We start from the raw sequence: 15,601 nt of genomic DNA on the forward strand, positions 1-15,601 counted from the left end.
GTCTAGCCCTGTTAGAGTATTCGGATTATTTGGTAACTTTATATTGTCTTGAAGTCAGAATTGCAAGTCCTAAAACCTTTTTCTTCTTTTTCGAAGTTCTGCATACTCTACGTCCTTCACATTTCCGTATAAATTTTAATCATCTCTTTTCTGTCTTCTCCAAAAAAGGCTGATGGGATCATGATTGTAATTGTCTTGAATCTGTTGATCAGTTTGAGGAGAACTGACATCTTAACAACCACTGAGTCTTAGTCATTAGTATAGTATATCTCTCCATTTATTTAGGTCTTTTTTGTTTTGTCTGAGCAGTCGTTTGTTGCTTTTAGCCTTTGGTCTCGCATGTCTTCTGTTTTTAAAATTACTTATTTTTTTTCCTTTTTGTTGAGACAGAGTCTCACTCTGTCGCCTAGCTGGAGTGCAGTGGCCCAGTCTTGGCTCACTCCATCTCCTGGGTTCAAACAATTCTCCTGCCTCAGCCTCCCAAGCAGCTGGGATTACTGGCATGTACCCTAAGCCCAACTAATTTTTATATTTTTAGTAGAGATGGGGTTTCACCCCGTTGGCCAGGCTGGTCAACTCCTGATCTCAAATGATCTGCCTGCTTCGGCCTCCCAAACTGCTGGGATTACAGGCATGAGCCACCACGCCTGGCCTAAAATTATTTTTATTTTTAAGTATTTTGTCTTTTTTTGATGCTATTTGTATTTTAAAATATTAAATACTTTTTCAGCAATTATGAAGTATTATAAAAATTTCTAATTTTTTGTTGGAAATAGAATTTTTGTATATTGACCCGTTTCTTACAACCTTAAGTCATATTAATTCTACGAGTTTTTTTAGGTACATTTCTTAGATTTTTCTAATAGATGATTGTCATAAAACACAGTTTTATCTCTTTTTTTCCCTAGTTGTAATGCCTTTTATTCTCTTCCCTCACAGAATTGACTTAATCTTGTTTTCATTCTTTGAATACAGCATTCAGTGTTACACCACTAATTATAAGTCAGCTGTAGGGGTTTTATTGATGAACTTTATCAGATTGTTTTCAAATATAGGTTTTATTACTGTTTAGATATGACAAGGACAACAGAACCCAACATAACTGCCATTGAAAAGATAGTTATAGTCACAGACCCTAAGAGGAATAATCATGCCATGCCATGGAGAATACACAGTTGAGTAAGGTCTAGCCCTAGCTTCCTGAGGGTTTATGTCCTGAATGGATATTGAGTTTTCTCAGAAGCTTTTTCTGTATCTATTGAGATAATGCTATATATTTAAATATATTAATGTAAATTTCATTGTTTTATTTTCAAATGTTATACTAAATGCCATTTGGTGTCATGGTGTATTATTATTATTATTATTTTTTTGGAGATGGGTACAGTGGCACAATCTCTGCTCACTATAACCTCCGCCTCCTGGGTTCAAGTGATTCTCCTGCCTCAGCCTCCGGAGTAGCTGGGATTACAGGCACGTGCCACCATGAGCAGCTAATTTTTTTCGTGGAGACAAGGTTTCACCATGTTGGCCAGGCAGGTCTCCTGACCTCAAGTGATCCTCCCGCCTTGGCCTCCAAAAGTGCCAGGATTACTTTCGTAATCTGTGTGAGCCATCGCAACTGGCCTATTCCTCTTAATATATTGTTGGATTTAAATTGCTAATAGTAAATATTTGCGCATCTTTGTATGTGAGGGATTTTGGTGTAACCTTGCTGCTTTTTGTCAGGTGCTGGTATTTTTGGCATATGCATTGGTATTCTTCATGCTCAACTTAGAAAATGATTTGGGAAGCATTGTCTTCTCTGTTTTCTGGAAATGTTTGTGTGAGATTGATGCTATTTTTTCTTTAGTGTTTGAAGGAACTTATCAGTGAAAAAATCTGAGTCTAGAGTTTTCTTTTTGGAAAGGATTTTGATAATTCAACTTAAAATGCTTCTCAGATATTCTGTTTTATCAGTTTTGATAAGTTTTGTTTTCAAAGAATTTCTTCTTTTCATCTCAGCTGTTGAATTAGTTAGCATGAAGTCATTAATAATAATCTTTGGCCCTCAATACCTTTGGGATCGTAGAGCTAATTCCCCTTTTATTCTTGGTAATTTGTATTCTTCCTCTTTAAAAATAAATTAATTTCGCTTGCAGACTGTCAACTTTGTAGGTCTTTCCAACGTGTTACCAGAAGGGGTCCCAATCCAGACCCCAAGGAGAGGTTCTTGGATGTCATGCAAGAAAGAATTTGGGGCGGATTCATCAAGTGAAAGCAAGTTTATTAAGAAAGTAAAAGAATAAAAGAATGGCTAGTCCATAGGCAGAGCAGTGCCATGGGCCACTGGTTTCCCATTTTTATGAGTATTTCTTGATTGTATGCTAAACAAGGGGTGGATTCTTCATGAGTTTTCTGGGAAAGGGGTGGGCTATTCCCAGAACTAGTGGTTCCTCCCCTTTTTAGACTATATAGGGTAACTTGCTGGCATTGCTATGGCATTTGTAAACTCATGGCGCTTGTGGGAGTGTCTCTTAGCATGTTAATGTATTATAATTAGTGTATAATGAGCAGTGAGGATGACCAGAGGTCAGTTTTATCACCATCTTGGCTTTGGTGGGTTTTGGCCCCCTTCTTTATTACAACCTGTTTTATCAGCAAGGTTTTTCTGTCTTGTATCTTGTGCCAGCCTCCTATCTCATTCTGTGACTTAGAATGCATGACTTACTGGGAATGCAGCCCAGCAGGACTCAGCCTTATTTGACCCAGCACCTGTTCAAGATAGAAGCACTCTGGTTCAGAGGTCTCTGACAAAAGGACCAGCTTTGACTTCAAATTTTCTGTTACTTTTCTGTTTCATTTCTTCTGCTCTTATTTTTACTATTTCTTTTTTTTTTTCTACTTACTTTGGGTTTACTTTACCCTTTTATATATAGGTTCTTTAGGTAGAACCCTACATATTTTATTTTATTTTATTTTATTATTTTATTTTATTTTATTTTATTTTATTTCATTTCATTTCATTTCATTTCATTATTTCATTTCATTTCATTTCATTTCATTTTATTTTATTTTATGACAGAGTTTTGCGCTGCCACCCAGGCTAAAGTGCAGTAATGCAATCTTGGCTTACTGCAACCTCCGCATCCCAGGTTCAAGCGATTCTCCTGCCTCAGCTCAGCCTCCTGAGTAGCTCGGATTGCAGCCATCCGCTACCACGCCCAGCTAATTTTTGTATTTTTAATAGAGAAGGGGTTTCACCATGTTAGCCAGGCTGGTCTTGAGCTCGCGACCTCAGGTGATCCGCCTGCCTTGGCCTTCCAAAATGCTGGGATTACAGCCGTGAGCCACCGCACCCGGCTGCTAGGTCATTCATTTCATATCTTTTTTTCTAATGTGGTTAGGGAACATAATCTGTATGATTCCCATTATTTTCATTCTATTGTGTCCAGCTTTGTGGCTCAGTATGTGGTCTTTCATGGGGAATGCACCAAGTTTACCTGAAAAGAATGTTTATAGTGGTTTTAACATTGCTAGATGATGATGATGACTATTATTATTTGGTCTGGTTTTGTCAATCACAAAGAGGGATGCTAAAATATCTTACCATGTTTGGGGCACTGAGTATTCTGACTGTTTATGCCTTATGCCAAATTTTCCTTCATGTATTTTGAAGCCTTGTTTTTAGGTGCATACATTTATAATTATTATGACTTCTTCATTGTCTGACTTACTGTGAAATGTCCCTCCCTCTCTTTACTATGTAGCCACTCACCATCTTTTTGTTGTTGTTTGTTTGTTTGTTTGTTTTGAGATGGAGTTTTAATCTATCACCCAGGCTGGAGTGCAGTGGTGTGATCTCGGCTCACTGCAGCATTTGCCTCCCAGGTTCAAGCAGTTTGCCTGTTTCAGCCATCCTAGTAGCTGGGATTATAGGTGTGTGGCACCATGCCTGGCTAATTTTTGCATTTTTAGTAGAGACAGGGCTTTGCCATGTTGGCCAGGCTAGTCTCAAACCCCTGGCCTCAAGTGATCAAGTGCCCGCCTCGGCCTCCCAAAGTGCTAGGATTACAGGCATGAGCCACCGCGCACCCAGCCTATCCATTTACTTTGGACCTGTTTGTGTCTTCCCTTAAAGTGTGTTTCTTACAGACACCTTGTGATTGAGTTTTACTTTTCTATGTGTGCTAATACACTATTTTTTTTTGAGAGTCTCTACGTCACTACAATCAATTTTAGAACACTTGGATCCCCTCAAAAAGAAGCCCTTTGGCCCATTAACAGTCACTCTCCATTACCCTACTTGCCCAGCTCCTGGCAATCACTAATCTTCATTCTGTCTCCATCCCTATTTGTCACATTTCATATAAATGGAATCATTTGGTGTATTGTGAGTGGCTTCTTTCTCCTAGCATCATGTACAAGCATTTGTTTTGTAGCATTTATTAGAACTTCATTCCTTTTTGTTGTCAAATAATATTCTATTGCATGGCTATACTACATTTTCTTTACTCATTCATTAATTGATAAACATTTAGGTTGTATATACTTTTGCAATATTATGAATAATGTTATTATTATGAACATTTGTCTGCAAATCCAGACATTTGTTTTCAATTCTCTTGGGCCTAGGATTTTTGTTTCATGCTGCAACTCTGTTTAACCTTTTGAAAAACTGACAAAGAGGCTGTAACATTTTAAATTACCAGCAACAATATATGAAGGTTTTAATTTCTCCATCTCTTTGCCAACATTTTTTATTGTTTGGCTTTTGATTTTAGCTATCCTACAGGGCATGAGGTAGTATCTCATTGTGGTGTTGATTTTTACTTATCTTTTTTCATTATATTCTTTTGTAGACAGAGTCTCACTCTGTTGTTCAGGCTGGAGTGCAGTGGTGTGATATCTTGGCTCACTGCAACCTCTGCCTCCCGGGTTCAAGCGCTTCTCCTGCCTCAGCCTCCTGAGTACCTGGGATTACAGGTGCCCGCCACCACGCCTGGCCAATTTTTGTATTTTTAGCAGAGACGGAGTTTCACCATGATGGCCAGGCTAGTCTCAAACTCCTGACCTCAGGTGATCCCCCTGCCTAGGCCTCCCAAAGTGCTGGGATTACAGGTGTGAGCCACCGTGCCCGGCCCCTTTGTTCAATTTTTAACTGGGCTGTATAGCTTTTTATTTCTGAGTGGAAGAGCTCTGTATTCTGGATACAAACTACTTATCAGACATATGACTTGTAAATATTTCTTCCATCCTTTTACTTTCCTGATGATTTTGTTTGTAGCAAAAAAGTCTGTAGGTTTGGTAAATTCTAGTTATTTTTTCTTTTGTTGCCTCTACTTTTATCTAGTGTTATGTCTAAAAACTGTTGTTCAACCAAGTCCTAAAGACTTACCTCCTATGTTTTTTTCTAAAGTTTTATTGTTTTAGCTCTTACATTTAGGTCTGCGATTCACTTTTGAATTAATTTTTTAATATCAGGAAGGGTTTCAACTTAATTCTTTGGCACATTTCTCTAGCAATTTAAATATATTTCTTTACTCTTTTCAGTCTGTTTTTATAGTATTACCACTTCTGACTAATATTGTACAAGTTGTAAAGTATACAAAGCTTGTAAGTTGTTCTTTTATATCACCTCTGTTTGTTGTCAGTTATGCTATTGTCATGTGTGTTGGAACTATGTACATTATAAGCCCCAGAAAACAACAATGTAATTTTGGCTTTCAATAATCATGTAATGTTAAGAACTTAAGAGCTAAAAGTCATCTAAGTTTACCCAGATATTTACCATTTGTGGTAGTCTTCTTTGTCTTCTGAAGATTTGCATTTTCTAGCATCATTTCTCTTAATCCTGAAGAATTTCTTTAGCCTTTCTTGCAGGGCGTATCTTTTGGTGATAAATTGTGCTTGCTTTCTTTTATCTGAAAGTATCTATTTCACCTCTATTTTTGAAGGGCATTGTGGTTGGATATAGAATTCTGTGTTGACAGTGCCTTATCTTTTAGCAAGGGGTATTTTAGTTTATTTTCTTTTGGCTTCCATATTTTATGATGAGAAATCTGCCGTTTATCCAGTCATGGTTCCCTCTGTGTAATGTGACATTTTCTTTTGGTGCTTCAAGAGTTTTCCCTCTGTGTTTGCTTTTTAGCAAGGCATTTGACTATTCGAGGTTTGCTGAGATTCCTGAATCTGTGGATTTGTCTTTTTTCAAATTGAAGAAAATTTCAGCCATCATTTCTTCAAAAGTTCCTTTCCTGCCTCATATTCTTTCTGTCTTCTTTTTTAGGCCTTTGGTTATGTATGTAAGACCTTTTGGTACTGTGCTGTAGGTCCCTGAAGCCCTGTTTTTTGTTTGTTTGTTTAACCTCTATTTTCTCTTTCAGATTAGATTCTTTTTTTTTTTTTTTTTTTTTTGAGACAGAGTTTCACTCTTCTTGCCCAGGCTGAAGTGCAATGGTGGGATCTCAGCTCACCCCAACCTCTACCTCCTGGTTCAAGCGATTCTCCTGCCTCAGCCTGCTGAGTAGCTGGGACTACAGGTGTGTGCCACCACACCTGGCTAATTTTGTATTTTTTAGTAGAGATGGGATTTCTCCATGTTGGTCAGGCTGGTCTCAAACTCCTGACCTCAGGTGATCCACCCATCTCGGCCTCCCAAAGTGCTGGGATTACAGGTGTGAGCCACCGCGCCTGGCCTCACATTAGATTCTATCTATCGATGTAGCTTCAAGTTCACTGACTCTTTTGTCATCTCAGATTTGTTGTTGTGAAGCTTGCCGAGTGAAATTTTCACTTCACATGTTGTATTTTTAGTATTTAAAAAATTCTATCTTTTTTTTTTTTTAATTTGAGACCGAGTCTTGCTCTTTTGCCCAGGCTGGAGTGCAGTGGTGCGATTATATTACTGCAGCCTCAAACTCCCAGGCACAAGTGATTCTCCTGCCTCACCCTTCTGAGTATTTGGGACTGCAGATTGGTGCTACCATGCTTGGCTTATGGTTTCTTTTCTTTTTTTTTTTTTTTGTTGTTGTTGTTGCTGAGACACCCTGTTTTATTATAGGTTTATCTTTGGTGGGCAGACTTGATTAGCATTTAGCGACATTTTTCTATAAAATTTCACATTATAGACCAGGCGCGGTGTCTCACGCCTGTAATCCCAGCACTTTGGGAGGCTGAGGCGGGCAGATCACGAGGTCAGGAGTTCGAGACTAGCCTGACTAACACAGTGAAACCCCATCTCTACTAAAACTGCAAAAATCAGTCGGGCGCGGTGGTGTGCACCTGTAACCCCAGCTACTCAGGAGGCTGAGGCAGGAGAGTCGCTTGAACCCGGGAAGTGTATGTTGCAGTGAGCCGAGATTGAGCCACTGCACTCCAGCCTAGGTGACAGAGTGAGACTCCATCTCAAAACAAAACAAAACAAAAAAACACTTCACATTATAAAGGAAATGGTATAGTTTGCAATAGAGGAAAGAAATCACTCATAATCTTACCATCCTTACCACAGTCTTATTAATATATTTTGTGGTTTTTTTTTTTTTTTTTTTTGAGACGGAGTCTTGCAGTGTGGCCTGGGCTGGAATGCAATGGCGCCATCTTGGCTCACTGAAACCTCCGCCTCCTGGCTTCACGCGATTATCCTGCCTCAGCCTCCCCAGTAGCTGGGATTACAGGCGCACACCAAGCCTGGCTTATTTTTTTTTGTATTTTTAGTAGAGATGGGGTTTCACTATGTTGGTGAGGCTGGTCTCGAATTCCCGACCTCATGATCTGCCTGCCTTGGCTTCCCAAAGTGCTAGAATTACAAGCGTGAGCCACTGTGCCCAGCGTATTTTGTGTATTTTCTTTTAATGTTCAGTGAATTTTTATTTTATTATAATTTTTTTTTTGAGACGGAGTCTCCCGCTGTCACCCAGGCTGGAGTGCAGTGGTGCGATCTCGGCTCACTGCAACCTCCGCCTCCCGGGTTCACGCCATCCTCCTGCCTCAGCCTCCCGAGTAGCTGGGACTACAGGCTTGTGCCACCACATCCGGCTACTTTTTTGTATTTTTAGTAGAGATGGGGTTTCACCATGTTGGTCAGGATGGTCTCGATCTCCTGACCTTGTGATCTGCCTGCCTTGGCCTCCCAAAGTGCTGGGATTACAGGCGTGAGCCACTACTCCCGGCCAGATCTTTTTTTTTTTTTTTTTTTTTGAGATGAGATCTTACTCTGTCACCCAGGCTGGAGTTCTGTGGTGTGACCTCAGCTCACTGTAGCCTCGACCCCCTGGGCTGAAGTGATCCTCCGACCTCAGCCTCCCTAATAGCTGGACTATAGTCTCACGCCACCATGTCCAGCTAATTTTTTGTATTTTTAAGTAGAGATGGGTTTCACCATGTTGCCTAGGCTGGTCTTGAACACCTAACCTCAAGTGATCCACCTGCCTCGGCCTCCCAAAGTGCTGGGATTACAAGTGAGAGCCACTGCAGCCGGCCAGACTTTTATAAAAGTTGTATGGTTATAAATGGTTATATAAAATATCTTTGTGCATACATTTTCATGTCTTGAAGATAAAGTATATAAATGATATAAAAGACACAAAGGTAATTTATACATGCTATATCTTATATTATTTGCTTTGGCTCTCTAAAAGTGAAGCAATTAAATCAGATTTTTTTCCTTGATTCTTATTGCTTAACTGCTGTCCAAAAGAATAGGATTATGGTGTCATCGAAATTATATAAAAATGAATTTTGAGTTTTTTTTTTTTTTGACAGAGTCTCTCTCTGTCGCCCAGACTGGAGTGCAGTGGCGTGATCTCGGCTCACTGCAACCTCCGCCTCCCGGATTCAAGTGATTCTCGTGGCTCAGCCTCCTGAGTAGCTAGGATTACAGGTGCCTGCCACCACTCCTGGCTAAATTTTTTTTTTTGAGACGGAGTCTTGCTCTGTCGTCAGGCTAGAGTGCAGTGTTGGGATCTCAGCTCACTGCAACCTCCACCTCCCAAGTTCAAGTGATTCTTCTGCCTCAGCCTCCCGAGTAGCTGGGACTACAGCCATGTGCCACCACACCCAGCTAATTTTTGTATTTTTTTTTAGAGATGGGGTTTCACCATGTTGGCCAGGATGGTCTCGATCTCTTGACCTTGTGATCCATCTGCCTTGGCTTCCCAAAGTGCTGGGATTACAGGTATGAGCCACAGTGCCAGGCCTAATTTTTGTATTTTTAGTAGTGACAGGGTTTCGCCACGTTCGCCAGGCTGGTTTTGAACTTCTGACCTCATGTCATCCGCCTGACTTGGCCTCCCAGAGTGCTGGAATTACAGGCATGAGCCATCACGCCTGGCCTATTTTTTAAAATTAAGACCTTTTTTTTTTTTTTTTTTTTTTTTTTGAGACGGAGTCTCGCTCTGTCGCCCAGGCCGGACTGCGGACTGCAGTGGCGCAATCTCGGCTCACTGCAAGCTCCGCTTCCCGGGTTCACGCCATTCTCCTGCCTCAGCCTCCCGAGTAGCTGGGACTACAGGCGCCCGCCACCGCGCCCGGCTAATTTTTTGTATTTTTAGTAGAGACGGGGTTTCACCTTGTTAGCCAGGATGGTCTCGATCTCCTGACCTCATGATCCACCCGCCTCGGCCTCCCAAAGTGCTGGGATTACAGGCGTGAGCCACCGCGCCCGGCCGAGCTTGGCATTTTTATCTACCTCATTCTACCGATGAGGAGGCCGAGTCTCAGAGAGTTCACAGACCTGCCTAAGGTCACTCAGCTAGAGGTGATACAACCAGGGTTTGAACTGAGATCTGCCAAGCTTCTGAGTTTATTCTTTTTCCCCCACACCAAGGATCCTCAATTCTGCCTTACTGACATCAGGATCCGGTCAATTCTTTGTGATGGGGGCTGTCCTGCACCTGGCAGGATGTTTAGCAGCTTCTCTGGCCTCCACCCACTGGATGCCAGGGGAATGCAGAAGAGGCTTGTTCATTCTCCCATTTAATCCTCAGGACAATATCTGACATAAATGTTACGTCTTTTATTTTATAAATGAAGAAAATGAGACTCAGAAAGGTTTAAGTGAGTTACTTAAGAACACACAGACAGCAAGAGGTAGAACTGGAAACCGAACACAGGTGTCCACATGGGACAACAAAAAAGTTCACGTTCCATCTTCTTTTGAGTCTCTCATTTCAATAATGACCATTGTGTGGATATGAGCTGAAGTACAGGAAACCTGGGGCTGAACTCTCCTCCCATCAGGCCTAGGAGCCCCAGACCAGAACCCCAGCCCAAGGTCTCCCAGTCAGGCCCGCTGGCGTGAGCTGGCATCTACACTAGCATGGTCTCCCAAAGCTGCAGGGATGCCAGTCTCGCCGCTGATGAAGAAAATGAAGGGCATTTGCTTCTCATGCAGGCTGTCGGGATTTAACACAGATTCCTTTTCTTGCTGTCTTCTCCCATAGCACAAAACTGGGTGGTCCATCCCCCTCCCAGTGTCCCAAGGCTTTGTTGCGTGTTCTCTTTAATTTCTCCCACTCTTGTGGTGCACCCTACCCTCATCTCCCTGGCAACCTTTCTGCTGTATCCTCTCGACACCTGGATCACAAGAACACTTGTGAGACCCCTTAACAAGTTACATCCCAAATTATCATTCCCCTTTGTCCTCAGCCAGTGCTCAGGTCCAACTTGCTCTCCTGGGGTGACTTTCTTTCCTGCCCAATATGGTTTCATCATCTGTAAATTGGGGATAATTAAAGTCTTGATCCTGATATTTGACTCTCAAAGCAGAAGTAGCAAGCTCAGCCAAGTCACTTCAACAAGAGGAGAAGTTCCTTGTGAACCAAAAGGGCACTGGTCACAAGGGCCGCTCCTTCTTCTGTCAGGCCTCTCCAGCACACCCTTGGCTCAGCCAAAGAAGAGACTCAGGCTGTGCTTCTGCACTGTTGGGATAACATAGGCCTCTTCCATGTGGTTCCACACCAGGAACATGGGGACAATCAGACCTCTCCCAGTGTGGGCATAAGGATACAAGATCATGTCAATATTGACATTCATAATGGCTGGGCGCAGTGGCACACGCCTGTAATGCCAGCACTTTGGGAGGCTGAGGTGGGCAGATTGCTTGAACCCCAGAGTTCGAAACCAGCCTGGGCGACTTGGCAAAACCAGTCTCTACTGAAAATACAAAAAATTGGCTGGGCTTGGTGGCGCACACCTGTAGTCTCAGCTACTTGGGAGGCTGAGGTGGGAGGATTGCTCAAACCCAGGGAGGTTGAGGCTTCAGTGAGCTATGATGGCACTGCTGTACTCCAACCTGGGCAACAGAGTGAGGCCCTGTCTCAAAACAAAAACAAAGACAAAACAACATTCATAATAGTAGCAATAGCTACTATGTGCCAAGCCCAGGCACCTCTTTGAGTCTTTGCTGGCACTCTATCAGGTAAGCGTGCTTAGAAGTTACACGAAGCCCACGGCTCAGTGTTTGGCCCATGGTAAAGGCCTAAAAAGGGATAGCCCCAGTGGTGGGGATGCTGCTGCTGCTGACCATTAACCCCAGTCTGCTCCACCTTCTTCCAGGCAGTCTGTGAGATGTTTCATGTCCGAGGCAAACAGCACATTCAGATCCCCAAGCTCTACACCTCCAGTGTGACCAGGCACCTGCACCACTTCAGGCTCATGCAGGACTCACAGCCTTTGGACCTCAGCTAAAGGACTTGCTTCTCTTCAGCACACGGGGCTTGTTTGTGTTGGGGTCTGAGCCCTGAGCCCATGGTCAAGGAGACCCCCAGGTCTTTCTGAACAGAGACAGCTGGCCTGGGGGCCTCCCTCTCACTGCGTGCAAGAGGCTGTTAGGGTGCAAGACTCAAGGCGCTGAGGGAGGCTGTTTCAGGAGGGAGCCCCAGGAGGGTGGTGGAGACAGAAGGGGGCAGCATCTGCCAAGGCCCTACTGTGTGCCTGGCACCGTGTGGGGTTTCTGGCCCATATGGGCTAAGTGACCCTGCACACTCCTCTTAGGAGAGAGGCTCAGATGGAGAAATTGCAGTTCAGGAAGGTGAAGCAAGCTGCTAGCCTGTGGCCATGTTGGGATCTGGGCCTCAGCCTTCCAGCCACGAAGGCAGCCAAGTGTCATGAAGAAGGCATCACAGAGGCAATTCCAGGCTGTAGTGGTGAACTTTCCACTCTGCATCCCCGGGTGCTGTGCCCTGTGCCCTGTCTAAGGTAGCCCTGTGGGTTTCTATATGTTTAAATTGTCCCCAGCATCAATGATGCTCTCCTGTGGATCCCAAGCCATGGAGATGTCCTGGGACTTTTCATTTTTAGGTACCTAAATTGAATTTCCCAACACACAGAAGCAAGACAGCCGCCCTAACAGACTCTTGCATGCAGTGAGAGGGAGGCCGCCAGGCCAGCTGTCTCTGTTCAGAAAGACCTGGGGGTCTCCTTGACCATGCGCTCAGGGCTCAGACCCCAACACAAACAAGCCCCGTGTGCTGAAGAGAAGCAGGTCCCTTAGCTGAGGTCCAAAGGCTGTGGGTCCTGCATGAGCCTGAAGTGGTGCACGTCCCTGGTCACATTGGAGGTGGAGAGCTTGGGGATCTGAATGTGCTGTTTGCCTTGGATCTTTATTTGTGATTCAGAAACAGTGGAATAAAAGGAAAGGAAAGAAAACCTGAATGGCCACCTCAGCAGGATGCTCCAAGGGTAGTGTCCAGGTGGCACTGACTCAGATATGTGGGGGCTTCCCCCACCCATGCTCAAGAGCCACTTTGCCATTTCACCATCTCTCTGTCCTCCACACCCCTCAGCAGCAAGCACAACAAGAATGTGTTCACCATGAAGCTCAAATCTCAGCAGAATCTAGAGTCTGAAATCCAAGTAAGGGAAAGTGTAGAGCTTCTTGGATGATGCCCTGTCAATTTTATTTTAACGAATGAAAGACCAGAAGAAGTCAGTCTTGAAAGGAGAGGACAGGAGCATCTGCTGGCATTAGCAGCCGTGCCATCGTAGGACCGACTCACCTGGACCCGCGGCCACCTGTGCTTTTACATCTAGTCTTGGTTAACCATGGGCCACTTTTCCAGCTTGGAAACTAAGCATATGCTCCACTTCCTCTCCTTCCTCATTGAACTCTTTCACTAAAAGAACAGTGCAAGAGAGACTTAAACTGTTTGCCTCATTCTTAAGACCTTTCAGGAAAAGTGTTGGCAGGGAAGGAAATCTCCCAGCTCTGGGAAACAGTCTTGTGGATTATCTGCTGGTTTCATTGATCTGTGCTGTCCTCCCTGCATTCATTAGGAAAACTGGCCTTGGTTCAAATAAGAACAGGATTTGTCCTGGTGACAGAGAAAGGTTTCTTCTGATGTCCATATATCTCCGAGGGGGATGCTTTCTCCAGGCAGAGGCTGTGGCCAAGCGATCGGGGGGCTCAGAGGGCTGCTGGGAAGGGGTGGGCCCCTCTCTCCCCAGAGGGAAACTCCTGGGGACCTCTCGAGCACCCCTGCCCATCCTTTAAACATAAATTCATAAATACAAACAAGTAGGCCATTCACAGAAATATATAAAATATGTCATAGGACGGGTGGCACTCTCATATGGCAATAATTATGACAGGGGCCGGCAAATGACCTGAGTGACCCGGAGTGACCTGAGCACTGACTCCCAAATGCCCTCCATAGGATGTTCTGCATCCCCGAGACCCTTTCCTGGGTCCTCCTGGGCCCTACCACCCCCTAGACCATCCAGACCTCAGGTCATCCCCCTGTCTGTTGACAGAGTAGTCTCCGTTCCTGAATGTGCTGGTCACCAGCAACAGCAGCTACTCCTCCTCCAGGAAGCTCAGCCTATACTTCTACACGCAGAGAACCTGGACGGCACCCAGGTGGACCTAAGCCTTCAGCTCCCAGTAGACGCTCTGGGTTTCCTACCCTGCCCAGACACTCTGGGCTTCCCCCCACACCTCCCCTCGGCCGGGGCTCCTGTGTGCATCTGTCTCTCCCAGTGCCCAGCACAGGCGTGGAACGGAAGAGGTGAATGGACCGATTTGAACACATCATCCTGGATTCTCCGTTCCCTCTCAAGCCCTGCAGCTAACCCATCGGCAAGCCCTGGAGGCTCTGCCTCCAAAATCCTGCCTATCCCATGTGCAAACGCCTCTCACCACGTCCACTGCTATTTGCAGTTCTGTGTGTGTGGAAATACTTCCACCAATTTGGAATGAACAGGTCACAGCTGTGCCTGGAGGGAATGGCCAGGGAAATGTGCCCTCGCCTTGCTGTTCTATCCAGGCCCACCCAGCTGAGGATGGGGGACCTGCCACCACTCTCCTGGCAGTTCCGGACTCCTGGGAACCGGCAGGTGAGGACCCAAGAGTGTTTTCAGTGACCCGGCTGACCTGGTCATCCGTCAGTCCCACCTTGGCCTAGGCCTCTATACAGCACAGATCACAGCTCATCCCATCCTGGCATTACACTGGCCTGTGCCCTGTCCTCAGGGTCACATCCGTCTCCCAGAAGCCGTGCAACCCTGGAAAACCCAGGTCTAACAGTCAGGTTCCTCCTCCGTGCATTAACAATGGCGTTGACGCCTGCTTTGCGGCACGCTGGGAGGGGAGAGGGAGGTGTATGCTGGAGAGCTCCCCAGGGGCAAGGCCTGGCTCTGCGTCACCCACTGTCAGATCCTGAGAGCCTGGGGCTGGCCCAGCACGTGGCCACCGTTCCCTAAGAGTTGGATTTCATCCCTCAGTGCTGAAGGCAGGGGATAGAGCTTAGACAGACCCCCTGCGTCCTGTCTTCTTTATCTACAGCTTTCTCTTCCTTGCCCCTTTCACGTGCACCCTGCAGAGCAGGTGTTCACTGAGCTTGAGCAAAATTCAAGCTAGAGCAGCTGATGGATCTTGAGGCCTAGATTCACTGTCAAAGTGTTTCTCAAACGGTGCTCTCCAGAACACCAAGGAAAACTCATTGACTGTGTAAGTCTGAAAATCCCTGCCCACCGGTCTACCTTTGTGTATGAGCAATCAGCTCTACCATTCAGCCCAGGTGTGTGTTTGCTGGACCATGTGGAGGAAGCTGAAGAGACGTGAGCTGAAGGCAGAGGGTGAGTCCAAGGTGGGATCTTGGGACAGGTACGAGAAGTTAGGCAAAAATGGGATAATTCTAGCCTTCATAACCTTAGATAATAGTTCACATTATTATTTAGTTAATAGAACTGTACCCACATTAAATTTCTTAAATTTTTTTAAGAGATAAAGTCTCACTCTGTCACCCAGGCTGGAGTGCAGTGGTGCAATCATGGCTCACTGCTTCCTGGAACTCGTGGGCTCCAGCAATCCTCCTGCCTCAGCCTCCTGACTAGGTGGGACTATAGGCACACGCCACCATGCCTGGCTAATTTCTTTGACTTTTCTCTAGAGACCGGGTCCACCTAGGTTTCCCAGGCTGGTCTCAGACTTCTAGACTCAAGTGAACCTGAACCTCCCACCTCGACCTCTCAAATTGCTGGGATTACAGGTGTGAGCCACCACACCCGGCCTAAATTTCTTATGTGCCATGGGACTGCAAAACATCATTATTAGGGGCAGCTGGATGGAAGGTATAGGAGGATACTATAGTGCCTTTTCAATATTTCTGTCTAAAATCTAAAA

At 44.9% G+C, this 15,601-nt stretch overlaps 1 pseudogene; it reads left to right on the forward strand.

Annotated features, from left to right (window-relative positions):
- Window positions 1-12,579, forward strand: part of LOC100420852 (nitric oxide synthase 2, inducible pseudogene) — a 52,131-nt pseudogene extending 39,552 nt beyond the window's left edge.

This window comes from Homo sapiens, chromosome 17, assembly GCF_000001405.40.
Source record: "Homo sapiens chromosome 17, GRCh38.p14 Primary Assembly".
Classification (NCBI taxonomy): Eukaryota; Metazoa; Chordata; class Mammalia; order Primates; family Hominidae; genus Homo; species Homo sapiens.